The sequence below is a fragment of the Homo sapiens genome, chromosome 19 (assembly GCF_000001405.40).
Source record: "Homo sapiens chromosome 19, GRCh38.p14 Primary Assembly".
NCBI lineage: Eukaryota > Metazoa > Chordata > Mammalia > Primates > Hominidae > Homo > Homo sapiens.
Genome location: NC_000019.10, coordinates 18,346,837 through 18,371,636, shown reverse-complemented (window position 1 = coordinate 18,371,636; position 24,800 = coordinate 18,346,837). Strand labels below are relative to the sequence as shown.

Genomic DNA, 24,800 nt, shown 5'->3' with positions numbered 1-24,800 from the left:
CAGGAGTTTGAGACCAGCCTGGGCAATATGGCAAGACCCTGTCTCTACATTAAATAACAATAATAAGAGTCGACCCTATGGGAAAGACCACCCAGATATGAATACCTCCACTGGGGGTGCAAGAACCCTCAGTCCTCTGTGAGTCCAAGAAGTTCCCCCAACCCACGGGGTCCACTTGCTCCAGGACATCTTCCTAACTGTTGTCCAAGTCCCTTTGGTGTCAAAAGTTTATTCTCAGAGAGCCAGAGACCAGGGTGTCTTCATTCCTGCTGAGGACAGGCGTAGGGAATGAACATGTCCATTTGTGTTCTTCAAGGCCCTCCGCTCCAGAGAAGCCCGCCTGGGTTCACATTCCCACCCCTACTCTCCCTGGCCGTGACATAGGGGACAAGGGGCTTCAACTGGTGGAAACTCAGTTTCCCTGTCTGTAAAGGTGGCAATGGCATGGCATCCCCTGTCAGAATGATGGGGATTTTTTGTTTTTTTTGAAGTGGAGTCTTGTTTGCTCTGTCGCCCAGGCTGGAGTGCAGTGGCGTGATCTCAGCTCACGGAAACCTCCACCCGCCGGGTTCAAGTGATTCTGCTGCCTCAGCCTCCCAAGTAGCTGGGATTACAGGTGCCTGCCACCACACCCAGCTACCTTTTGTATTTTTTTTTTTTTTTGAGGTGGAGTCTCGCTCTTTTGCCCAGGCCAGAGTGCAGTGGCGCGATCTCGGTTCACTGCAAACTCTGCCTCCTGGGTTCACGCCATTCTCCTGCCTCAGCCTCCCAAGTAGCTGGGATTACAGGTGCCTGCCACCGTGCCCGGCTAATTTTTTGTATTTTTTAGTAGAGACGAGGTTTCACCGTGTTAGCCAGGATGGTCTTGATCTCCTGACCTTGTGATCCGCCCGCCTCGGCCTCCCAAAGTGCTGGGATTACAGGTGTGAGCCACTGCGCCTGGCCTAATTTTTGTATTTTTAGTGGAGACAGGGTTTCACCATATTGGTCAGCCTGGTCTTGAACTCCTGACCTCAGGTGATCCACCGGCCTCAGCCTCCCAAAGTGCTGGGATTACAGGCGTGAGCCTCCGTGCCCAGCCATGATGGGGATTTTGTATGCCCTGGAGGTTGATGCAGATCATCGCTCAAACCCCAGTGCCTGTGTTACCACAGGCAAGTTCCTCAACCTCCCTGTGTGTTGGAACAAAGGTCCGCGGGTTTTGTTGTTGTTTTTTGAGACTGAGTCTCACACTGTTGCCCAGGCTGGAGTGCAGTGGTGCGATCTTGGCTCACTGTGACCTCCGCCTCCCGGGTTCAAGCGATTCTCCTGCCTCAGCCTCCTGAGTAGCTGGGATTACAGGCACGTGCCACCACACCTGGCTAATTTTTGTATTTTTAGTAGAGACGGGGTTTCGCCATGTTGGCCAGGCTGGTCTGGAACTCCTGACCTGAGGTGATTCACCCACCTCGGCCTCCCAAAGTGCTGGGATTCCGGGTGTGAGCCACTGCGCTGGGCCAGGCCTCTGATTTTGAGGAAGGAGACCACTGGAGGCAGAATTCCCCTCCTCTCGCTCACTCAGCACATGGTCACCAGCTGCCCTGGGCCCAGCACCACCGAGAATAGAAACCCAGTGACACGGGGTCCCCTCTATCCCCGGGCACCCAGCTGAACTCCAGCCCCACAAAAGGACACACAGGAAATGTATGCGTATTTCAAGTGTTTTATTTGCTTTCTGTGGTGTCAAATTTGGGGTCTCCTAGAGCCCAGCCCCAGGCAGAATCCGGCATATCCTTCTCCGCCTGGGGGGCCCGGGACACAGGAGTTTCAGAAAAGGCACTGGCAAAAGTTCTAGGGCGGGGGTCAGGGAGAAGCCACACTGAGCCTGGAGGGACCGGGCCCTCCTTCGGCGGCAGAAAACACAGTCACCTTTGGCAGGGAAGGGTTTTTTCCTAGAAAGAAATTTAAGACAAGATAAAAACCTGAGATGTTAGAGGAGCCCCCAGAACCAAGCCGGTGCTCCCCTGGGCAGGCAGAGAGTGAACTCGGCTTCCAAAGGCTCAGGGGAGGCTTGCCCGGCCCTCAGCCAGGCTCAGATGCCACAGGCCTTGGCAAGCAGAAAGCCTAATTCAAATCCCTATGTGGAATCTCCTTGAGACAAAGTGTCACGACACAAAACCCCCAGGCCCCAGACCCCACCTCTGAATGGCTTGGGCCAGACGCTGGTCTGGATCGTCAGGAGCCACGGCCACTACCCAGTGACCAATTCCTGTCCCTTTTTGTGTGTTCTGTGAGCGCTGGAGAGGCAGGCACTTCTGTGGGTAACTGGGGGAGGCACAGCGGGGAGAAAGAGCAGGAGGAGAAAGGGAATTTGGGGGAGGGGGAGCAGTTTGGGGTGGGACTGGGTCCCTCAAGTCCTGGGAGTCCCCCCCCACTCAGCTTGTGACAACTGTCCTGGAAACCAGGGGACAGAGTCTCTCAGCAGGTATGTTCAGCGTCCACCCGGGAATTAGCTTTCCAGACGTGGGCACTGGGCAGCGCCTGCCCCTCAACAGCCATTCTGCCAAGGGTCTAAGTGGAACCCCAGCCCTCGGCCGGCCTCCTCACTGCAAAAACGGGGATGCTTTCCCTCCCAACCAGCAGCCCCGGGCCCTCATGAGGCACTTGTGCCCAGGGAAGGGAAATTTAATCCGGATTATAAAAACAAAGCCCTCTCCTGCCCCCTCAAGTTAGGATGCTGAGGATGGGTGGCTGCATGGGGCAACCTGGCAAAGACCTGCCTCCTTGACCATGATCAGCACCCCATGCTGGCCGTCACGCAGCTCCCAGAGGCCTCAGGATAGAGGCTGGGGCTGCGGAGAATAGGGCTTTGTCCAGCTGTCTCCAAAAGGGACGTCTAGGTTCAGACGCCACAAGAGGCAGAGAGGTCAAAGGCCAACAGTCTAGACAGTGGCAGCCAAAAGGGGGCCAGCTGTGCGGGACAGATTTCCATGAGCCATCCCCCTCCACCTGGTCACCTCCCCAGGGCACTGGAGTGCAGGTGTAAACATACCAGCTGGTCTTGCTTCCTGGAAGAAACTTCCAAGACTAAAAGGCATCTTGAATCTACTTTTCCAGCTCTCCCATCTGCCCCAGAGTGGATACTTTCTGTTCTAGATGTTTCTATGCCAGCAACGAGCAGAAAAGCAGAGCAGGGAATTCTTTTTTTTTTTTTTTTTTGTGACAGAGTCTTGCTATGTTGCCCAGTCTGGAATGCAGTGGCGTGATCTCACACCACTGCAACCTCTGCCTCCCAGGTTCAAGCAATTCTCCTGTCTCAGCCTCCCAGGTAGCTGGGATTACAGGCACGCACCATCCACTCTTGACTAATTTTTGTATTTTTAGTAGAGATGGGGTTTTGCTATGTTGGCCAGGCTGGTCGCAAACTCCTGGCCTCAAGCGATCAGTCTGCCTTGGCCTCCCAAAGTGCTGGGATAACAGGCATAAGCCACTGCGCCTGGCCCCCCTTTTTTTTTTCTTAATTTTGAGGCAGGGTCTTGCTCTGTTGCCCAGGCTGGGGTACAGTAGTGTAATCATGGCTCATTGCAGCCTTCACCTCCTGGGCTCAGATAAGCCTCCCAACTCAGCCTCCCAAGTAGCTGGGACTACAGGTGCTTGACACCACAACTGGCTAATTTTTTTTTTTAATTTCTGTAGAGATGGGGTCTCGCCATGTTGCCCAGGGCTGGTCTCGAACTCCCGGGCTCAAGCAATCCTCCCACCTCAGCCTCCCAAAGCACTGGGATCACAGACATGAACCATCTCCAGGATTCCCCTCCTTGCCGAGAAACTACTGCCATCTGGGACATTTCCTTCACACATCTGGCTCTGATGGGGAAGCTGTGATTTCGGCCCCCACCCCCTGTCCCTGCCCAGCCCTGCCTCTCCAAGTGGCCTCAGGTTTGTTCCAGCCCTTGATTGGAGCAGGTGGGCTAGGTGGCCCCAAGCTCAGCCCACCCACCTTGAATTCCTGCTTCTTCCTTTCTTTCCTTTCCACTCCATCTTATTTCTTTTTTGAGCTACATCCCCACACGCATGCAACTGACCTTCTTTGGGGTGGGGAGGGGGTGCTAGGGGCCGAATAAAGGAATAAAAGTGCGCAGACTTGGGCATCTTAAAAGAGATGCCATCATCAAGTTGGTCAGGGTACCAGGTGCCCTGATCACTGTCCCTGCACCCCTGTTCCCTGCCTCAGCACCCTCCATGAGGACTCATCAGGGAAGCCCCCCCAATCACTTCTCACCTTTCTCCCCCAGCCTTCCCACCACACCCCTCAGCCTGTCTTTTCACCATTGACACTTGCCACCCCTATTCCTCTTCCCAACACCTGCCAAGTCCCACCCACCTTGCAGACCCTTCCTATGCCACCTGTAGCCCCTACCCCAGGCTCTGAAAATGAGGCAAGAGGGAATGGGACTTGGTCCTTCCCTTCTTGCATGAGGATTTTTTTTTTTTTTTTTTTTGAGACAGAGTCTTGCTGTGTCACCCGGGCTGGACTACAGTGGTGTGATCATGGCTCACTGGGGCTTCAACCTCCCAGGCATAGGTGATCCTCCTGCCTCAGCCTCCTGAGTATCTGGGACCACAGGCATGCACCACCACATCTGGCTAATTCTTGTATGTTTTGGTAGATATGGGATCTCTTGCTATGTTGCCCAGGCTGGTCTTGAACTCCTGGCTCAAGGGATTCTCCTGCCTCAACCTCCCAAAGTGCTAGGATTACAGGTGTGAGTAACCACACCTAGCCCACATGAGGATATTTTAAGCCAAGACCCAACAAAGGTGGAAAAACACACCAGAGAGTGCACAGATGAGTTCCACCAAAAGAAAAATATTTGTAAAAAACTTGGCCAGGCGCAGTAGCTCACACCTGTAATCCCAGCACTTTGGGAGGCCAAGGCAGGCAGATCACCTGAGGTCAGGATTTCAAGACCAGCCTGGCCAACATGGTGAAGCTGCATCTCTACTAAAAATACAAAAATTAGCCAGGTGTGGTGACGGGCGCCTGTAATCCCAGCTACTCGGGAGGCTGAGGCAGGAGAATTGTGTAAACCCAGGAGGTGGAGGTTGCAGTGAGCCGAGATCACGCCATTGCACTCTAGCCCGAGTAACAGTGTGAGAATCCATCTCAAAAAATAAAAATAAAAAATAACAATGAGAAAAATAAAATGAGCCAAATGTTGTGCATTATGAGGAAGGATGGGATACTGGCTTGACTGGGTAAGGAAATGTGAAACCACTGCAAGAATACAAAGATGACACACACACACGTGACAATGAGCAGACAATAGGTTATATCTCTAAGGAGCTATGTCACACAGTGCTTTAAACACAGAGGTGAAATGAAGACAAAAGAAAGATGGAAGTGTGGAGCCCGGGGCAGGTGCTTAGCTCAGTTCAGGCCTGGCACATCCCCTTCCCCATTTTGTCCCTGTCTTGGCTAGACCTGTTTTCTCCTCAGAGGCCCACAGACCAGACCTTTGAGGAATAGAGCAAGATGAAACCTGAAGTTGCTTTCCACCAGACCTCTGGGTGACCCCTGAGTCTTCAGTTGTTCCCCACATTCAAAAGAGGCCACAGCTTCCCTTCACAGAAGCTGGGGGGACAGATGCAGTGATGTCTCCCACACTCTGGATTTCTCAGGACACAGAGCTACCAGGGGTGTGGAGGGGGCATTTCCAGCAAAAAAAAAAGCTGGCATGGAGGGAACAATAGTGTCCCTACTCATTTCCACCTGTCAGTTACAGTCCACACCCACTGCCAGGCGCCCACTGCAAGTCACCCGCCAGCATCCACCTTCCCCTCCAGAGAAAGCCCAAGACTTGGAAAATGTGTTTCACAGAAACCCATCAACCCCGTTCCCAAACTATCTAGAAACCCAACAGAGGTAGGAACCACTGCCAGCATCGGAACTGGAGACAAGGAAGGTGAACGCTGAAGAAAACAAAACTCTCAGCTGTTTTAAGAAAGAACTGGGCTGGGTGCAGTGGCTCATGCCTGTAATCCCAGCACTTTGGGAGGCCGAGAAAGGAGGATCAGTTTGAGTCCAGGAGTTCGAGACCAGCCTGGGCAACATGGTGAAACCCTGTCTGTATAAAAAATTTAAAAATTAGCCAGGTGTGGTGGTGCATGCCTGTAGTCCCAGCTACTCAGGAGGCTGAGATGGGAGGATCACTTGAGCCCAGGAGGTAGAGGCTGCAGTGATCCATGATCACACTACTGTACTCCAGCCTGGTCAACAGAACAAGACCCTATCATAAAAACAAACAAACAAACAAAAACCTAGATGTTGGGAAACCAACAAGATTAGATTCCAACTGTGTCACACTCAGGGAAGCAGTATAGCCACATTCCTCCAGGCCAAAATAGAAACTGATTTCCAGAACGTGCATTTCACTCAATTACTTTCACTGTGGGGGTCGTCCTCTCTCCCTAATGGGCAGCAAGATGTGGCTGAACTTACATCATCTGAGGAAGTTTACGTCATCTCATCCCTGCCTGGTAAGTTCAAGGTTACCAGGAAGTGAGATAAAAATCAACTCCTGACTCCTGGGCGAGTGTCCAAAAGCAATCTACATAAAACCCTTTGGCCGCCCGGAATTCCTCCTGCTCAGACATGCCGGGACATGCAGAGCTCTGCCAACTCCAGCCCCCGCGCCCCCGTTTTGAGCCCCCCGCGCCACCCCGCTAAGGAGAACAACAAACTCGTCCCAGCACCAAAACCCTGAAGCTCCAGGCCAGAAGTAGGGGGGGGTTTCCGCTGATGTGGAGTTTTACATATTAAAAAAGAAAAGTCAAAAGCAGACAAAATCCGCCTTTCCACAGGTGGCCCTGGTCTCCATGGCGACAGCTCATAGCTTGGTGTTGAAAGGACCACGACCCCCATGGCCACATCTGGGGCAGCAGTCCCACCCCGTTGCCTGGCCACGGACCCCATGCCTTAAGCAAGGGGGCCTCATTTTTGGCCCTAAAACAAAGACATGCCATCTTAAGTCCAATTGTTTTGAGACAGAGTCTCGCTCTGTCACCCAGGCTGGAGTGCAGCTGTGCAATCTCAGCTCACTGCAACCTCTGCCTCCCAAGTTCAAGCGATTCTCCAGCCTCAGCCTCCCGAGTAGCTGGGACTACAGGCACTCATCACCATGCCCGGCTAATTTTTGTATTTTTAGTAGAGGCAGGGTTTCACCATGTTGGCCAGGCTGATCTTGAACTCCTGATCTCAGGTGATCCGCCCACCCTGGCCTTCCAAAGTGCTGGGATTACAGGCATGAGCCACTGCGCCTGGCCAAGACATGGCATCTTAAGTCCAATTTTCAGGGCAGGAGGCAAAAGTGGCATCACCCTGGTGGGCGAGTGGGGGTGGGGGGAAAACACTTTTGTTGTTGGCTAAAAAGCCTGCATTTTAACCAAAGGGAATATAAATTACTCTGTGCCCAAACTAGCACTATTTAAAAAAAAAAAAAAAGAGAGAGAGAGAAGAAAGAAAGCAAGAAAGAAAGAAAGCAAGAAAGAAAGAAAGAAAGAAAGAAAGAAAGCCAGCCAGCCAGCCATATCCCAGGGTGGCCCCAGAAAGGGCCAGGCTGTTGAGCACAGTTCAAGGTCGAGGACGCATTGAGAGGCTTTTAAATTTGGTAAAAGCCAGTCTTGGATATAAAATGAATTCTGAAATTCCTTCACCAACGGACAGGAAAGCAGGTGAACATATGGCCCCAGCCGTGGTATCGCAGCTCATGGATTCACCAGACCAAGATTCTCCCTGGGCATCTGGACCTCCCAGGCTGGCCTCCCTGGTCACGGCAGCTGTGTCCCCAGATGCAGGGAGGAAAATGGGAGAAAAAAAAATTTTCACCACTTCCCTCGAATCAACCGGAGCTTTTGTAGAGAAGGAGGAAGAGGAGGTGGGCAGATCAGAATCTCTCTTCCAGATCGGATCCCCAAGCTGAAGAGCTTGTCTTTTCCTGGCCACACCCCAGAGGGTGGATGTCCCCTCGTGGGGTCCCCAGCAGGATGAGGTCTTAGGAGACCTGAGCGTCCCTCAGTGTTTGTGGCAATAGTTGATTTTGCCCTCTGACTGCTCCAGGAGGTCCAACATCTCCTCAATGATGGCTCTCAGTGCCCTGCCCAGCTGGTCCGCGTTGTACGGCTTCCCCAGTGGGGGCACGTGGACGAAGGCTGATCGACCGTGACTCTGGTACAAAGAGGTGTAGTAGGTAAAGTCGCAGAGATATCTAAGCCGCAGGGCGTGGCGGGTAAGAGAGAGACCAAAACGGGGTCAGAGGGGCAATCCGTAGACCAAGGTGACAGCACCCATCCAAATCCAAGGGAAGACCTTACCAGCAACCCACAAGATGGAACAACACTCTCCTCCCTCCCCAGGTTGGCAAAGATGAAAAAAAATCACCAGAGGTGGTGGCACGTGCCTGTAGTCCCAGCTACTCAGGAGGTTGAGGCGGGAGGATTGTTTGAGCCCAGGAGGTCAAGGCTGCAGTGAGCCATGATTGCACCACTGCACTCAGCCTGGGTGAGAGAGTGAGATCCTGTCTCTTTAAAACACACACACACACACACACACACACACACACACAAACAAAAAAAACTTGATAACTCCCAGTGCTGTGGCACATGTGGGGAAATGGGCAGAGTGAGCTATTGCTGGTGGGAAGGCACGCTGGTTGTCCCCGTGTGGAAGGCAATTTGTCAGGCTAGTAAAATTATAATCACCCAGACTTTACAACCTGGTATTTCCATTTTTTGTTTATTGAGACAGGGTCTCACTCTGTCACCCAGTTTGGAGTGCAACCTGGCCTCCAGCGATCCTCCTACCCCACCCTCCTGAGTAGCTGGGACTACAGGTGTGCACCACCACCACTGGCTTTTTTTTTTTTTTTTTTTGAGACAGAGTCTGCTCTGTTGCTCAGGTTGGAGTGCAGTGGCACAATCTCAGCTCAGTGCAACTTCTGCCTCCTCGGCTCAAGTGATTCTCCTGCTTCAGCCTCCCGAGTAGCTGGGATTACGGGCGTGGGCCACACCACGTCTGGCTAATTTTTGTATTTTTAGTAGAGACAGGGTTTCACCATGCTGGCCAGGCTGTTCTGAAACTCCTGACCTGTAGTGATCCGCCTACCTCAGCCTCCCAAAGTGCTGGGATTACAGGTGTGAGCCACCGTGCCTGGCCCTATTTCCAGTTTTTATTTTTATTTATTTATTTTTTTGAGACGGAGTCATACTCTGTCACCCAGGTTGGAGTGGAGTGTTGAGATCTTGGCTCACTCCAACCTTCGCCTCCCGGGTTCAAGCGATTCTCCTGCCTCAGCCTCCCGAGTAGCTGGAATTACAGGTGCCTGCCAGCACATCCGGCTAATTTTTATGTTTTTAGTAGAGACGGGGTTTCACCATGTTGGCTAGGCAGGTCTGGAACGCCTGACCTCGAGTGATTCGCCTGCCTCGGCCTCCCAAAGTGCTGGGATTACAGGCGTGAGCCACCACGCCTGGCCTATTTCCCGTTTTTAGATCTACCCTCAGGAACCATCTGCACAAGGGTACAAGAAAGTACAAACAGGGATGCTCCCCATCGTATTATGTATAAAAGCAGGAAAACAGAAAGCAACCTAAAGCCCACTGACAGGGAGTGGCTTAGTAAACTCTGGTTTATCCACACCATGGAATCCTATGAATCTGTTTACAAGGAATGTGGTACAGCCAGAAAAAAATGGAGAACTCGCCAGATGCATGTTGAACGCTCACAAATGAAAACTAAGGATGAGAATTCTCAGTAAGTGTGACTTTCGCCATGTGACTCCATCCACGTAAAAGCAAAGCAAAACAAGATAAAATCATAAAGCAGCAGGCCAAGTGATGTATATATGTACGGAAACGTGTCAGTCAGTAGGAGCTTCATGGTTTCCGTGTCTGACTTATCAGAGGGACCGCTATGGAAAAAGAGAGGGAATGAGAATTTTTCCCAATTAGACATATGAGGATATGTTCTAGAGTTACCTATGATTAAAAATTAATTTTATAAAGAGACTGATGGAAGCTGGGTATGGTGGCTCACACCTGTAGTCCCAGCACTTTGGGAGGCTGAAGTGGGAGGATCCCTTGACTCCATGAGTTCGAGACCAGCCTGGGCAACATTGCAACACCTTGTCTCTACCAAAAATACAAAAAAATTGGGCTGGGTGGCCGGGCGCGGTGGCTCACGCCTGTAATCCCAGCACTTTGTAAGGCCAAGGCGGGTGGATCACCTGAGGTCAGGAGTTCAAGACCAGCCTGGCCAACATGCTGAAAACCTCATCTCAACTAAAAATACAAAAATTTTCTGGGCATGGTGGCAGGCACCTGTAGTCCCAGCTACTTGGGAGGCTGAGGCAGGAGAATCACTTGAACCTGGGAGGCAGAGGTTGCGGTGAGCTGAGATTCTGCCATTGCACTCCAGCCTGGGCAACAAGAGCGAAACTCTTGTCTTTAAAAAAAAAGAAAGAAAATTGAGCTGGGTGCGGAGGCTCACACCTGTAATTCTAGCACCTTGGGAGGCCAAGGTGGGCATATTGCTTGAGCTCAGAAGTTCAACACCAGCCTGGGCAACATGGTGAAACCCCATCTCTACTAAAAATACAAAAATTAGCTGGGTGTGGTGGTGGGTGCCTGTAATCCCAGCTACTCTGCAGGCTGAGGCAGGAGAATCACTTGACCCGGGAGATGGAGGCTGCAGTGCAACAAGATCGAGCCACTGCACTCCAGCCTGGGTGACAAAGCTAGACGCAGTCTCAAAAAAACTAAAATAAAATAAAATTAGGCCAGGCGCGGTGGCTCATGCCTGTAATCCCAGCACTTTGGGAGGCCGAGGCAGGCGAATCACCTGAGGTCAGGAGTTCGAGACCAGCCTGGCCAACATGATAAAACCCTATCTCTACTAAAAATACAAAAATTAGCTGGGTGTGGTGATGGGCACCTGTAATCCCAGCTACTCAGGAGGCTGAGGCAGGAGAATCGCTTGAACCCGGGAGGTGGAGGTTGCAGCAAGCCAAGATTGTGCCACAATACTGCAGCCTGGCTCCAGCCTGGGCGACAGAGCAAGACTCTGTCTCAAAAAAAATAAAAATAAAAAATAAATTAGCTGGGTTTGGTTGTGCTACCTGGGAGGCTGAGGTGGGAGGATCACCTAAGCCCAAAAAGTCAAGGCTGCAATGAGCTGTGATTTTGCCACTGCACTCTAGCCTGGGATACAGAACGAGATCCTGTCAAAATAAATAAACAACTAAATAACAATTAGTTTTCAATTAAAAAAGAGAAAAAGTTAGCTTTAAAAAGAACTCAGTGGTGTGCGGTGGCTTTTGCCTATAATCCCAGCACTTTGGGAGGCCGAGGCACAAGGATCACTTGAGCCCAGGAATTCAAGACCTGCCTGGGCAATGTAGCAAGATTCTATCTCTACAAAAAATACAAAAATTAGCTGGACGTGGTGGTGTCCATCTGCAGTCCCAGCTACTCGGGAGGCTGAGGCGGGGGATCACTTAATCCCAGGAGATGGAGGCTGCAGTGAGCTGTGATTATACTACTTGACTCCAGCCTATGCAACAGAGCGAGATCCTGTCTCCAAAAACAAAAATCCTGATGGTAAATCCAGGCATTCCTTCCTTCAGCTACTCAACTGCATTGACCAATAGCTGCCTTTGAGTTGGACAAGCGCACAGATTAGGGAAAAGTGAGGAAGCTGGTGCTGGGAGGGTATAACTTGGTCTGGGGAGTTGGAGAGGCCTACAAGTCACAAGGAGGTGACTCGTGTTGGAATTAAGACTGGAAAGAGGGCCAGGCGCGGTGGCTCAGGCCTATAATCCCAGCACTTTGGGAGGCTGAGGTGGGTGGATCACTTGAGGTCGGGAGTTCGAGACCACCCTGGTGTGGCCAATATGGCAAAACCCCGCCTCTACTAAAAATACAAAAGTTAGCTGGGAATGATGGCGCACGCCTGTAATCCCAGCTACTTGGGAGGCTGAGGCAGGAGAATCACTTGAACGTCAGAGGCGGAGGTTGCAGTGAGCCAAGATCGCGCCAATGCACTCCAGCCTGTGCTACAGAGCGAGACTCCATCTCAAAAAAAAAAAAAAAAAGACTGGAAAGAGGTGTTCCCAGAGGAAGGTGTTCTGGGCAGAGGCCATAGGGTGTTCAAAGGCCCTGAGGCTGGAGTGAACTTGGTGTGTTTGAGGAGCAGGAGGAAGCTGGTTCATGTGTCTGGAGTGCAATGGATATGGGGTGAGTAGAGGCAGAGCGGGGTGGAGAGGCGGGCCAAGGGCCAGGGTTGGAATTTTATTCTATGTGCAATGGGAGCCATAGGGAAGGTCTAGGAAAGGAACACATGCATTTATTTATTTAGAGCCAACAGGGTCTTGCTCTGTTGCCCAGACTGAAGTGCAGTGGCGCTATCACAGCTCACTGCAGCCTTGAACTCCAAGCTCAAGGAATCCTCCTGTCTCAGCCTGCTATTTTTTTTACTTGTTCAGATGGGGTCTCCTTATGTTGCCCAGGCTGGTCTTGAACTCCTGGGCTCAAGCGATCCTCCTGCCTTGGCCTCCCGAAGTGCTAGGATTATAGGCATGAGCCACTGCGCCTGGCCCTGATTTAAATTTATAAAAGACCTTTTGCAATAGAATCATCTCCCTCAACATTCGTGTTCACCTGGGACCTCAGAATGTGACCTTATTTGGGCCACGTTTGGTGGCTCATGCCTATAATCCCAGCACTTTGAGAGGCTGAGGAGGGTGGATCACCTGAGATCGGGAGTTCGAGACCAGCCTGACCAACATGGTGAAACCCCATCTCTACTAAAAATACAAAAAATTTGCTGGGTCTGGTGATGCACGCCTGTAATCCCAGCTACTTGGTAGCCTGGAGCAGAAGAATTGTTTGAGCCAGGAGGCGGAGGTTGCAGTGAGCCGAGATGGCGCCATTGCACTCCAGCCTGGGCAACAAGAGCAAAACTCCATCTCAAAAAAAAAAGAATGTCACCTTATTTGGAAAGAGGATCTTTGCAGATGTAATTAGTTAAATTAAGATGAGGTCGGCTGGGCGCAGTGGCTCATGCCTGTAATCCCAGCACTTTGGGAGGCAGAGGTGGGTGCATCACCTGAGGTCGGGAGTTCGAGACCAGCCTGACCAACGTGGAGAAACCCTGTCTCTAATAAAAGTATAAAATTATCCGGGCGTGGTGGTGCATGCCTATAATCCCAGCTACTTGGGAGGCTGGGGCAGGAGAACCGCTTGAACCCAAGAGGTGGAGGTTGCAGTGAGCTGAGATCACGCCATTGCACTCCAGGCTGGGCAACAAGAGCAAAACTCCGTCTCAAAAAAAAAAAAAAAAAAAAAAAAGTCATACTGGATTAGGATGAGTCCTAAATATAATGACTGGTGTCCTAATAAGAAGACCACACGGCCACACACAAAGGGAAGAAAGTGATGTGAGGATAGGGGCGGGGACTGGAGCGATGTGTCTACAAGCCAAGGATGGCCAGCAGCCACCAGCTGCAGGAGAGAGGCCTGGGACAGACTCACCCTCAGCACCTCCAGAAGGAACCAGTCCTGCTACCACCTTGACCTTGGACTTCTGACTTCCAAGGCTGTTAGACAATACATTTCTGTTATATGAAACCACCCAGTTTGTGGGTATTTGTTATAGCAGCTCCAGGAAATTAACACAGAAACTGACTGCTTGGGTTGGGGTGGAGGCAGCAGGGAGGAAGACTGAGATGGAGGCTGGGGCAGTGTCCAGGTGGGAGATGCTGGGGGCCTTGGTGGGGACCGTGATGGTGGGGAGAAGTGGGCAGATCCATGAGTCCCAGGAGCAGAACCAACGGCACCTGCTACGTACAAATACTTGGCTCTGTGCCTAGTATACACTGAGTGCTTGGTCCAAAGAGGCCAAGGTCAACACGCTTGGCTTGTTCTACACCAGGCTCAGTGGGTGGAGGAGGGAAATCCCCACTCACTCCCACCCCACAGGGCCCTACCTGCCGGCATCCTGCGAGATGGTCACCGACACATCCAGGCCCAACGTGGTGACTCGCTTGCACACAGCATCCATGTCGATGATGGAGTCAATGCTTTCAGGCCCGTCCTCCACGCAGCACTGGGAGCCGGGGCAAAAGCGGCAGTTGTCCAGCCCCTTGTAGCCCTTGTTGTGTCCACATTTCTCCAGTGTGACTGTGGTCGCCATGCCTGACACCCCCACATGCACCACCAGCTGCACACAGACAGGGGCAGGACTTAACATGGCCTGCCCGTGGGACTCAGAGGGGTCCCCCTGAGGCCAGGGAAAAGGCAGCATCCTTAATGAGCTCTGCCTGGGGTTGTGTTGTTTCTGACCTCTTGCTGCTAGAATAGACCCTGCAGTCACTCTTGGAAAAAGGTATGCCATGTAAGACAGGCAAGAATTTGAAACATGAAGGGCTGTTCACTGCAGCTGTTCTTGTTATCAAAATCAAATACTGCAAACAAGTTAACTAGCCATCCAGCGGAGTTAGTTCAATAAATAATGAGCTGCTATGCAAGTGTTAAAATGCCAATGCAGTGTTTTTGTTTCTTTGTTGAGATGGAGTCTTGCTCTGTCGCCCAGGCTGGAGTGCAGTGGCGCGATCTCAGCTCACTGCAACCTCCCCTTCCTGGGTTCCAGCGATTCTCTGGCCTCCGCCTCCCAAGTAGCTGGGATTACAGGCATGCGCCACCACACCTGGCTAATTCTGTATTTTTAGTAGAGACAGGGTTTCACCATATTGGCCAGGCTGGGATCAAACTCCTGACCTCCGGTGATCCACCCGCCTCAGCATCCCAAAGTGCTCAGATTACAGGCGTGAGCCACCATGCCTGGTCTTGTTTGTTTTTTTAAGAGACTTGTTCTGTTGCCCAGGCTGGAGTGCAGTGGCATAAAAATCTTGGCTCACTGCAGTCTTAAATTCCTGGGCTCAAGCAATCCTCCTGCCTCAGCCTTCTGAGTAGCTGGGACTATAAGCATGTACCATCATGCCTAATTTTTAAATTTTTTTGTAGAGATGGGATCTCACTATGCTGCCCAGGCTGGTCTCAAACTCCTAGACTCAAGCAATCCTCCTGCCTCGGCCTTCCAAAGTGCTGGGATTACAGGCATGAGCCACTACCCTTGGCCTGGATAGCCCTTTGGGTTTTTTTGTTTTTTTTGAGACAGGTCTTGCTCTGCTGCCCAGGCTGGAGTACAGTGGCACAATCTTGGCTCACCGCAACCTCCGCCTCCCGGGTTCAAGCGATTCTCCTGCCTCAGCCTCCCGAGTAGCTGGAACTACAGGCGCCCACCATCACACCCGGCTAATTTTTTGTATTTTTAGTAGAGACAGGGTTTTGCCATGTTGCCCAGGCTGGTTGCGAACTCCTGAGTATAGGTTATCCACCTGCCTCGGCCTCCCAACGTGCTGGGATTACAGGCATGAGCCACCATGCCCGGCCTGAAAAGCCCTTTTGAGGACAAGGCTGTATGGCATTGGTCACGTGATCTGATCAGGACCAAAGCCACCTAAGTCCTCCACATGAAGGGTGCCAACCTGTAAGTCCTGATGAGGAAGTGCCGCCCCTTGGCACCACTCACCTGTGGACTGTGCTTCTCCCACAGGGCGGGGATGAGTCTCTGGACTGTTTGGTACTCAACCGGAATCTCGTACACATGCAGGTCCACGCTGTCGCCAAGGCCTAGCTTTTCTAGCTCCTGGAAGAGAGGAGAGTGGGAGTGTCATGGCCCCAGATGACAGCTATGGGGATAATGCGCTCTCTGGGGGGTGAAACAAACAGGCGTTCTCCAGACTCATTCTGCAGGATGGCAAGGGTGTGTGTTGATTTAGTTCAAAGCCCCTCATTTCCTTCCCCACCCTCTTGCCTCAAAGTCTCTCTGTATCTCTATGGAAGGTGACATGATTCTATGGTCCCTGGGGTTAAATCCCAGGCTCCTTGGACTCAATCCTGCCTGTGTGACCTTGGGCAATCCACTTAATCTCTCTGAGTCTCAGTTTCCTCATCTGTAAAATGGGAATAACAGAGTATCAGGCTAGGCCTGATGGCTCAGGCCTGTAATCCCAGCACTTTGGGAGGCCAAGGTGGGCGGATCACCTGAGGTCAGGAGTTCGAGACCAGTCTAGCCAACATGGTGTCACCCCATCTCTACTAAAAATACAAGAATTAGCTGGGTGCAGTGGCACACACCTGTAATCTCAGCTACTTAGGAGGCTGAGGCAGGAGAATCACTTGAACCCGGGAGGCAGAGGTTGTAGTGAGCCAAGATCACGTAACTGCACTCCAGCCTGGGCAACAAGAGCGAAACTCCATCTCAAAAAAAAAGGCCAGGTGCGGTGGCTCATGCCTGTAATCCCAGCACTTTGGGAGGCCGAGGCAGGCGGATCACGAGGTCAGGAGATCGAGACCATCCTGGCTAACACAGTGAAACCCCATCTCTACTAAAAATACAAAAAAATTGGCTGGGCGTGGCGGCGTGTGCCTGTAGTCCCAGCTACTGGGGAGGCTGAGGCAGGAGAATGGCATGAACCTGGAAGGCAGAGCTTTCAATGAGCCAAGATTGTGCCACTGCACTCCAGCCTGGGTGACAGAGCAACACTCCGTCTCAAAAAAAAAAAAAAAAAAAAAAAAAGTATCGACTTACCTCACAGGATAGCTTTCAAAATTAAATGTGCTCACTCACGCTAACAGTTCTAAGCACCATGTCTGGCATATTTTAAGTGTTCAAATGACATTGGCTGCCATTATCCTATTACTGTTATTATTTTAGAAATGGGGCTGGGTGCAGTGGCTCATGCCTGTAATCCCAGCACTTTGAGAGGCTGAGGCTGGAAGATCGCTTGAACCCAGGAGTTTGAGACCAGCCTGGGCAACATAGTGAGACCTGGCCTCTACAAAAACTTTAAAAATTAGCTGGGCATGGTGGTGCACACCTGTGGTCCCAGCTATTCAGGAGGCTGAGATGGGAGGATTACCTAAGCCCAGGCGGTTGAGGTTGCAGTGAGCTATGATCGTGCCACTGCGCTCCAGCCTGGGCAGCAGGGTGAGACCCTGTGCCCTGCAACAGAGTCTTTTATTTATTTTATTTTATTTTATTTTGAGACAGAGTCTCACTCTGTCACCCAGGCTGGAATGCAGCGGCGCCACCTCGGCTCACTGCAAGCTCCGCCTCCCGGGTTCATGCCATTCTCCTGCCTCAGCCTCCCGAGTAGCTGGGACTACAGGCACCCACCGCCACACCCGGCTAATTTTTTCTATCTTTAGTGGAGACGGGGTTTCACTGTGTTAGCCAGGATGGTCTCGATCTCCTGACCTCGTGATCTACCTGCCTCTGCCTCCCAAGAGTCTTTTATTTTTTTGAGACAGAGTCTCATTCTGTCACCGAGGCTGGAGCGCAGTGCTATGATCTCGGTTCACTGCAACCTCTGCCTCCTGGGTTCAAGTGACTCTCAAGCCTCAGCCTCCCCAGTAGCTGGGATTACAGACATGCGGGATCACGCCCAGCTAATTTTTGTATTTTTAGTAGAGATGGGGTTTCACCATGTTGGCCAGGCTGGTCTCAAACTCCTGACCTCAAGTGATTCACCTGCCTTGGCCTCCCAAAGTGCTGGGATTACAGGGGTGAGCCACTGTGTCCAATTTGTAAAAAGAAGCCTCTCTAGTATTCACAAAAGCCAAAAGGTAGAAATAGCACAAATGCCCATCAACAGATGGATAAATGAAATATGGTCCATCCATCCGATGGAATACGATTCAGCCATGAAAAGGAAAGAAGCACTGATCCGTGGTACAATGTGGATGAACTTTGAAAACATGATGCTGAGTGAGAGAAGCCAGACACAAAAGGCCACATATTGTATGATTCCATTGATATGAAATGCCCAGAGCAGGCAAATCCATAGAGACAGGAAGCAGACGAGTGGCTGCCAGGGGCTGAGGGAGGGGAATGGAGAATGGCTACTGATGGGGACAGGGTCTCCTTTTCGGGTGATGGAATGTTCTGGAACTAGATAGAGATGATGGTTGCGCAACACAGTGAGTGTACTTAATGCCATGCAATTATATACTTTAAAATGATTAATTTGGCCAGGTACAGTGGCTCATGCCTGTAATCCCAGTGCTTTAGGAGGCCAAGGCAGGAGGATTGCTTTAGCCCAGGAGTTGAAGACCAGCCTGGCCAATACGGCAAAACTCGAAAATACAAATTAGCTGGATGTGGTGGCACATGCCTGCAGTCTCAGCTAATTGGGAGGCTAAGGTGGGAGGATTGCTTGAGCCAGGGAGGGGGAGGCTGCATGCAGTGAGCAAAGATTGCACCACTGCGCTATGGCCTGGGCAACGGGGCAAGGCCTTGTCTCAAAAAAAAAAAAAAATGAACCAGGCCCGGTGGCTCATGCCTGTAATTCCAATACTTTGGGAGGCTGAGGTGGGTGGATCACCTGAGGTCGGGAGTTCAAGATCAACCTGGCCAACGTGGTGAAACCCCGTCTCTACTAAAAAATACAAAAATTAGCCGGGCATGGTGGCAGGTGCCTGTAATCCCAGCTACTCAGGAGGCTGAGGCAGGAGTATGGCTTGAACCTGGGAGGCAGAGATTGCAGTGAGCCGAGATTGTGCCACTGCACTCCAGCCTGGGTGACAAGAGTAGAACTCTGTCTCAAGGAAAAAAAAAAAAGATTCAACCTGTTTCCAAGTAACTCAGCAGTATCCCAGAAAAAGTTGAATAATAGTGAGAGGTGGCTGAGTACGGTGGCTCACGCCTGTAATCTCAGCACTTTGGGAGGCCGAGGCGGGAGGATCACCTGAGGTCAGGAGTTCGAGACTACCCTGGTCAACATGGAAAAACCCTGTCTTTATGAAAAATACAAAAATTATCTGGGCGTGATGGTGCGCACCTGTACTCCCAGCTACTCGGGAGGCTGAGGCATGAGAATGGCTTGAATCTGGGAGGTGGAGGTTGCAGTGCGAGCCCAGATTGTGCCACTGCACTCTAGCCTGGGCGACAGAGCAAGACTCTGTCTCAAAAAAAAAAAGACAATTATATTTTTCAAAGGCCCCACCATCCGTTCCGTCAACAAACCTACACTAATTCCCATCTTCACACCACAGAGGTGACAGGGCACACATCATGTAGACCTGTTTCTTTCTTTCTTTTTTTTTTTTGAGATGGATTATCAAAAATCATTCAGTAGTATGATCTTGTCTTACTGCAACCTCTGCTTCCCGGCCTCAAGAGTTCCTTCTGCCTCATCCTCCCGAGTACTGGGATTACAGTACTCCCGAGTACTGGGAAAACACCCAACTAATTTTTTTTTTTTTTTTTTTTTGAGACGGAGTCTCGCTCTGTCACCCAGGCTGGCGTGCCGCAATCTTGGCTCACTGCAAGCTCCGCCTCCCGGGTTCACGCCATTCTCCTGCCTCAGCCTCCGGAGTAGCTGGGACTACAGGCACCCACCAGCATGCCCGGCTAATTTTTTTGTATTTTTAGTAGAGACGGGGTTTCATCGTGTTAACCAGGATGGTCTCGATCTCCTGACCTCGTGATCCGCCCATCTCGGCCTCCCAAAGTGCTGGGATTACAGGCGTGAGCCACCGCGCCCGGCCAACACCCAACTAATTTTTGTATTTTTAGTAGAGACAGGGTTTCGTCATGTTGGCCAGGATGGTCTTCAATTCCTGAGATCAAGTGATCAGCCCCCCCTTGGCCTCTCAAAGTGCCGGGATTACAGGCATGAGCCACTGCACTCAGCCCCATGCAGACCTGTTTCTAATCTATTATTCACACACCTGAGAAATCCCATAGAATTTTTTCTTTTAGAGATGGGGTCTTGCTACATTGCCCAGGCTGGTCTTGAACTCCTAGACTCAAGCGATCCTCCCACTTTAGCCTTAGTTGAGACTACAGGCATGTACCACCACATCTGGCTTGTTTTTACATCGATTTTATCTTCTTTTTTTTTTTTTTTTTTGAGACGGAGTTTTGCTTTTGTTGCCCAGGCTGGAGTGCAATGGCGGGATTTCGGCTCATCGCAACCTCCACCTCCTGGGTTCAAGTGATTCTCCAGCCTCAGCCTCCCAAGTAGCTGGGATTACAGGCATGCACCACTACGCCTGGCTAATTTTGTACTTTTAGTAGAGACAGGGTTTCTCCATGTTGGTCAGGCTGGTCTCCAACTTCCGACCTCAGGTGATCCGCCTGCCTCAGCCTCCCAAAGTGCTGGGATTACAGGCAAGAGCCATCATGCCTGGCCTGATTTTATCCTTTTTTAAAAATTGCATTGAGACAAAGTCCAACAGCACTTAAAAGTAAAGTTTTGTTTGGTTTTTTTGAGATGGAGTCTCATTCTGTCACCCAGGCTGGAGTGCAGTGGCGCGATCTGAGCTCACTGCAACCTCCACCTTCTGGGTTCAAGTGATTCTCCTGCCTCAGCCTCCCGAGTAGCTGGGATTACAGGCACCATGCCCCGCTTATTTTTGTATTTTTAGTAGAGACGGGGTTTCACCATGTTGGCCAGGATGGTCTCCATCTCCTGACCTCATGATCCGCCCACCTTGGCCTCCCAAAATGCTGGGATTACAGACGTGAGCCACTGTGCCCGGCCAAAAGTAAAGTTTTTAAAAAGATTTACTGCTGCTTTTCCATTCATAGGCAGTAAAAAAGCAATTCTGAGACAGGGTCCAGCTCTGGTCACTGAGGCTGGAGTGCAGTGGCGCCATCAGCGCTCGCTGCAGCCTTGACCTCCAGGGCTCAAGCGATCTTCCTACCTCGGCCTCCCAAAGTGCTGGGATGACAGGCATGAGCCACTGTGCCCAGCCATTGATTTTATCCTGCAACTCTGTTTGCTCCACTCAGCAGTCTATTTCAGAGATCTGTCTACATTACTATACGGAGATCTCAGCGCATCCTTTTCTCTGCTGCATAATACTCCACCTCAGAAACTGGTCGCTATGGATTTAAACATTCCCCTACATTGGAACATCTAAGTGGCTTCTAATTTTCCTTACTGTAAAGCCAAGCTGCAGTGAACGTCCTCATGCAAACTTCTCATGCTGATGGGTGGGGCATAAATGCCAAGTAGGGGCATTGCTGCACTGCAGATCAGTCAATACATACTTGCTATTGAGAGAGATCGTTACACTGAAGCCTGGTTTTCCCACCTCATATTCAATACGTCCCAGAGGAGAAAATTTTACCGTTTATAAATGCGTCTTCCCCTAATCTCCAAGAGGAGACCCACAGAGCTCTTTTCTCTTAAAAACAAATCAACAGGCCGGGTGCAGTGGCTCATGCCTGTAATCCCAGCACTTTGGAAGGTCGAGATGGATAGATCATTTGAGGTCAGGAGTTTCAGACCAGCCTGGCCAACATGGTGAAACCCCGTCTCTACTAAAAATACACAAAAAAATTAGCCAGGCGTGGTGTCGCATGCCTGTAGTCCCAGCTACTCGGGAGGGCGAGGCAGGAGAATCGCTTGAACTTGGGAGGTGGAGGTTGCAGTGAGCCAAGATCACACCACTGCACTCCAGCTAGAGTCTCGCTGTGTCTCAAAACAAACCAACAAACAAAAAACAAATCAGCAGCCAGGCACAGTGGCTCATGCCTGTAATCCCAGCTACTGGGGCGGACCACTTGAGGCCAGGAGTTTGAGGTCAGCCTGGGCAACACAGTGAGACCCCATCTCGAAAAAAGACCAAAAAGCCCCCACACACCAAATGACACGAAAAGCACAGACAATAAAAGAAAAATAATTGATAAACTGGATTTCATCAAAATTAAAAACAAAATGAAAATATTTAAAAGAATGAGTAATCTCTGTTTGGACCAACCTGGAGGGATTTCCCGGCATGACCCGTGGCGAGACTGTGCCACCTTCTGGGCAAGGAAGGAATGGGAGCGGCGATGGGGACGGGAGGGAGACTTCTATGCAAAAAACTCATCGCATGATTTTGACTTTTAAACCATTTCAGTGTTTTACAAAATCAAAAACAATAAAATAAAACAACCCATAGTCCCATATCAACAGATCTGCCTCTTTTCTGTCTTTTCCCTAATGGGCACAAGGTGATGTCTTGAGTCTCATGGGATGTGTTACTTTAAAAATCAACAGGGAAAGCTGTATTCAGAAAAATAGGGTCAGGGGTGGGTGGCTCACACCTGTAATCCCAGCGATTTGGGAGGCTGAGGCAGGAGGATTGCTTGAGGCCAGGAGTTCAAGATCAGCCTGGCCAACATGGCGAAACCCTGTCTCTACTAAAAATACAAAAATTAGCTGAGTCCCAGCTACCCAGGAGGCTGAGGCATGAGAATCACTTGAACCCGGGAGGTGGAGGTTGCAGTGAGCTGAGATTGCACCACTGCCCTCCAGCCTGGATGACAGAGTGAGATTCTGTCTCAAAAACAAAAATAAAAAACAACAAACAAACAAAAAAACAAGAAAGAAAGAAAACCACTGTCAGCATATACACATACCCCAAGACCTGCAGTCACAAGAGAGGTGTTCATGTGTGTGTTTGCCAAGACCCACCTGATGGCAGGGCTCGGTGGCTCACACCTATAATCCCAGCTTCTTTGGGAGGCCGAGGTGGAAGGATCATTTGAGCCCGGAAGTTCAAGACCAGCCAGGGCAATATAGTGAGATCCCATCTCTACAAAAAATAAAATTTAAAAAATTAGCCAGGCATGGTGGTGCATGCCTGTAGTCCCAGCTACTTGGGAGGCTGAGGCAAGAGGATCACCGGAGCCCAGGAGGTCGAGGCTGCAGTGAGCTATGATTGTACCACTGCGCTCCAACCTAGGCAACAGAGCAAGACCCCATCTCAAAACAAAAAAAAAGTTTCTCACCAAAGTGATAGGGAAACTTAAGGTCTGTTCACATTGCCTGATGTAAATTATCACTCAATTTTAAATAGGGTAACGGCAGGGAGCCACCTGCCATACAGTGTATCTGGCACTAGAAGGAAGTGTGTGGCTGGTAATCTGGCTGAAGTCTTAGCCTCTGAACACGCTCTGTTCCAAAAGGGTTGGATGGTTCTCCTCCGGGAGAAGGGGGGCAGGGCACCCCAAGTCCCACATCACTTTGCCAGCAGCACACCCGGCCTCATGCACCATCAAAGCATACACCGTGAAAGGACGGGGCTCGGGCAGACGCCCCATTGTCTACACCCCATCTACCTGACAGGACCCCGCCGCGCAGCCTCGTCTGACCGATTCCCCTGACCCCACGACAAAGACCCTCTTTGTTCCCTGGTAATATCCTTAGCAGGTCTGTCTAGACTCACTGTGGCAGCAATTGTCCCGTGATGTTACCAAGTTCTGTGACCCGGGTCCTCCTCACCCAGCTTTGGCAAGAGACACCCCAGATGGCCCCGAGCCCCGGAGCTCCCCAGCCCTTAACACCCACCTGCACCTCCTCGGAAGAGAAACACAGCCAGTGCCCCAGTCCACCCTGAGAGGTAGGGGAGACGGGACACACGAGACACATGGTGCCTCGTGCTTGGGGTGCTGGGGGAAGCTGCCATCCCAGGAAAGACAAGGGGGGGTCCCCTCTGTACCCCACCAACTCCCACCTCCTGAACACTGCGGGTGGGAAACAGTTCCACCTATGCTGTGGGCATGACTTCACCCAGGGGACAAAGAGAAAGGATCAGAAGAGACGGAGACAGGCCGGGCGCGGTGGCTCATGCCTGTAATCCCAGCACTTTGGGAGGCCAAGGCAGGCGGATCACGAGGTCAGGAGTTCGAGACCAGCCTGACCAATATGGTGAAACCCCGTCTCTACTGAAAATACAAAAATTAGCTGGGCGTGGTGGCGTGCACCTGTAGTCCCAGCTACTTGGGAGGCTGAGACGGGAGAATCACTTGAACTCGGGAGGCAGAGGTTGCAGTGAGCCAAGATGGCACCACTGTACTCCAGCCTGGGTGACAGAGTGAGACCCTGTCTCAAAAAAAAAAAAAAAAGGAGAGACAGAGACAGAGAGATGGAGTCAGAGAGAAACAGAAATGGGGAGAGAGAGAAGGGGAAAGAGACAGATTCAGAGAGAAAGAAACAAGGAGACAGAGACACACACAGGGAGAGAAACTGAGACACACGGAGATTAACAAAGATAGAGAGGAAGAGAGAGAAAGGGGAAGAGATAGTAAGACCCAGAGAGAGAGAGAGACAGGGAGACAGAGAGAAACAGAGAAGGATGGGCATGGAGGTTTATGCCTGTAATCCCAGCACTTTGAGGGGCTAAGACAGGAGGATGGCTTGAGCCCAGGAGTTTGAGACCAGTCTGGGCAACATAGCCAAATCCCATCTCTACAAAAAAAAAAAAAAAAAAGAAAGAAAGAAAGAAAAAAAAATTAGCTGGGTGTGGTGGTGCATGCCTGTAGTCCCAGCTAATGGGGAAGCTGGGGCGGGAGGATCACCTGAGCCCGGGAGGTCAAGGATGAGGTGAGCTGAGATTGCTCACCTCACTCGTTCAATCGACCATTGAACTCCACTCCAGTCTGGACGACAGAGTGAGACCCTGTCTCAAAAAAAAAAGAGAGCGAGAAAGAGAGAAACGGAGAGAGAAAGAAGGGACGAGGTGGGAAGGAACAGAGAAACCCAGAGAGAGAGAGGCAGAAAGAGACGAGAGGGAGAGGAAGAAAGACACAAGAGAGAGAAACAGCCGGGTGCGGTGGCTCACACCTGTAATCCCAGCACTTTGGGAGGCCGAGGTGGGCGAATCACCTGAGGTCGGGAGTTCAAGACCAGCCTGACCAACATGGA

At 51.1% G+C, this 24,800-nt stretch overlaps 1 protein-coding gene across 8 annotated transcripts in view, besides 3 other annotated features; it reads right to left on the bottom strand.

Annotated features, from left to right (window-relative positions):
* The window catches only part of PGPEP1 (pyroglutamyl-peptidase I), a 29,353-nt gene continuing 6,239 nt past the window's right edge, over nt 1,687-24,800 (bottom strand). For 2 of the 8 annotated variants that reach the window (NM_017712.4, NM_001329477.2), the window contains 3 exons: nt 15,626-15,742; nt 14,022-14,254; nt 1,687-8,246 (listed from right to left, as the gene is read on the bottom strand). In NM_017712.4, coding sequence (NP_060182.1) covers nt 8,054-8,246; nt 14,022-14,254; nt 15,626-15,742 — 543 coding nt within the window. In that variant the 3' untranslated portion in view covers nt 1,687-8,053. Of the gene's footprint in view, nt 8,247-14,021; nt 14,255-15,625; nt 15,743-22,568; nt 22,690-24,800 lie in introns of all 8 variants that reach the window. The other 6 variants (NR_138029.2, NM_001329478.2, NM_001308366.2 and 3 more) reach the window with 6 other exon arrangements.
* Nucleotides 6,424-6,718: an enhancer, noted in NCBI's record as "tiled region #798; HepG2 Activating DNase unmatched - State 5:Enh, and K562 Activating DNase unmatched - State 5:Enh". NCBI's record gives its function as "activates a minimal TATA promoter and a strong SV40 promoter by Sharpr-MPRA in HepG2 and K562 cells {active_cell/tissue: HepG2 | K562}" and the evidence as "EXISTENCE:reporter gene assay evidence [ECO:0000049][PMID:27701403]".
* Nucleotides 8,868-9,653: an enhancer, noted in NCBI's record as "H3K27ac hESC enhancer chr19:18472794-18473579 (GRCh37/hg19 assembly coordinates)". NCBI's record gives its function as "activates a minimal SCP1, AML or CMV promoter by ChIP-STARR-seq in primed H9 embryonic stem cells {active_cell/tissue: H9 hESC(primed)}" and the evidence as "EXISTENCE:reporter gene assay evidence [ECO:0000049][PMID:30033119]".
* Nucleotides 21,775-21,983: a silencer, noted in NCBI's record as "fragment chr19:18460464-18460672 (GRCh37/hg19 assembly coordinates)". NCBI's record gives its function as "represses an EF-1alpha promoter that drives an FKBP-Casp9 reporter gene in an ReSE screen in HepG2 liver carcinoma cells {active_cell/tissue: HepG2}" and the evidence as "EXISTENCE:reporter gene assay evidence [ECO:0000049][PMID:32094911]".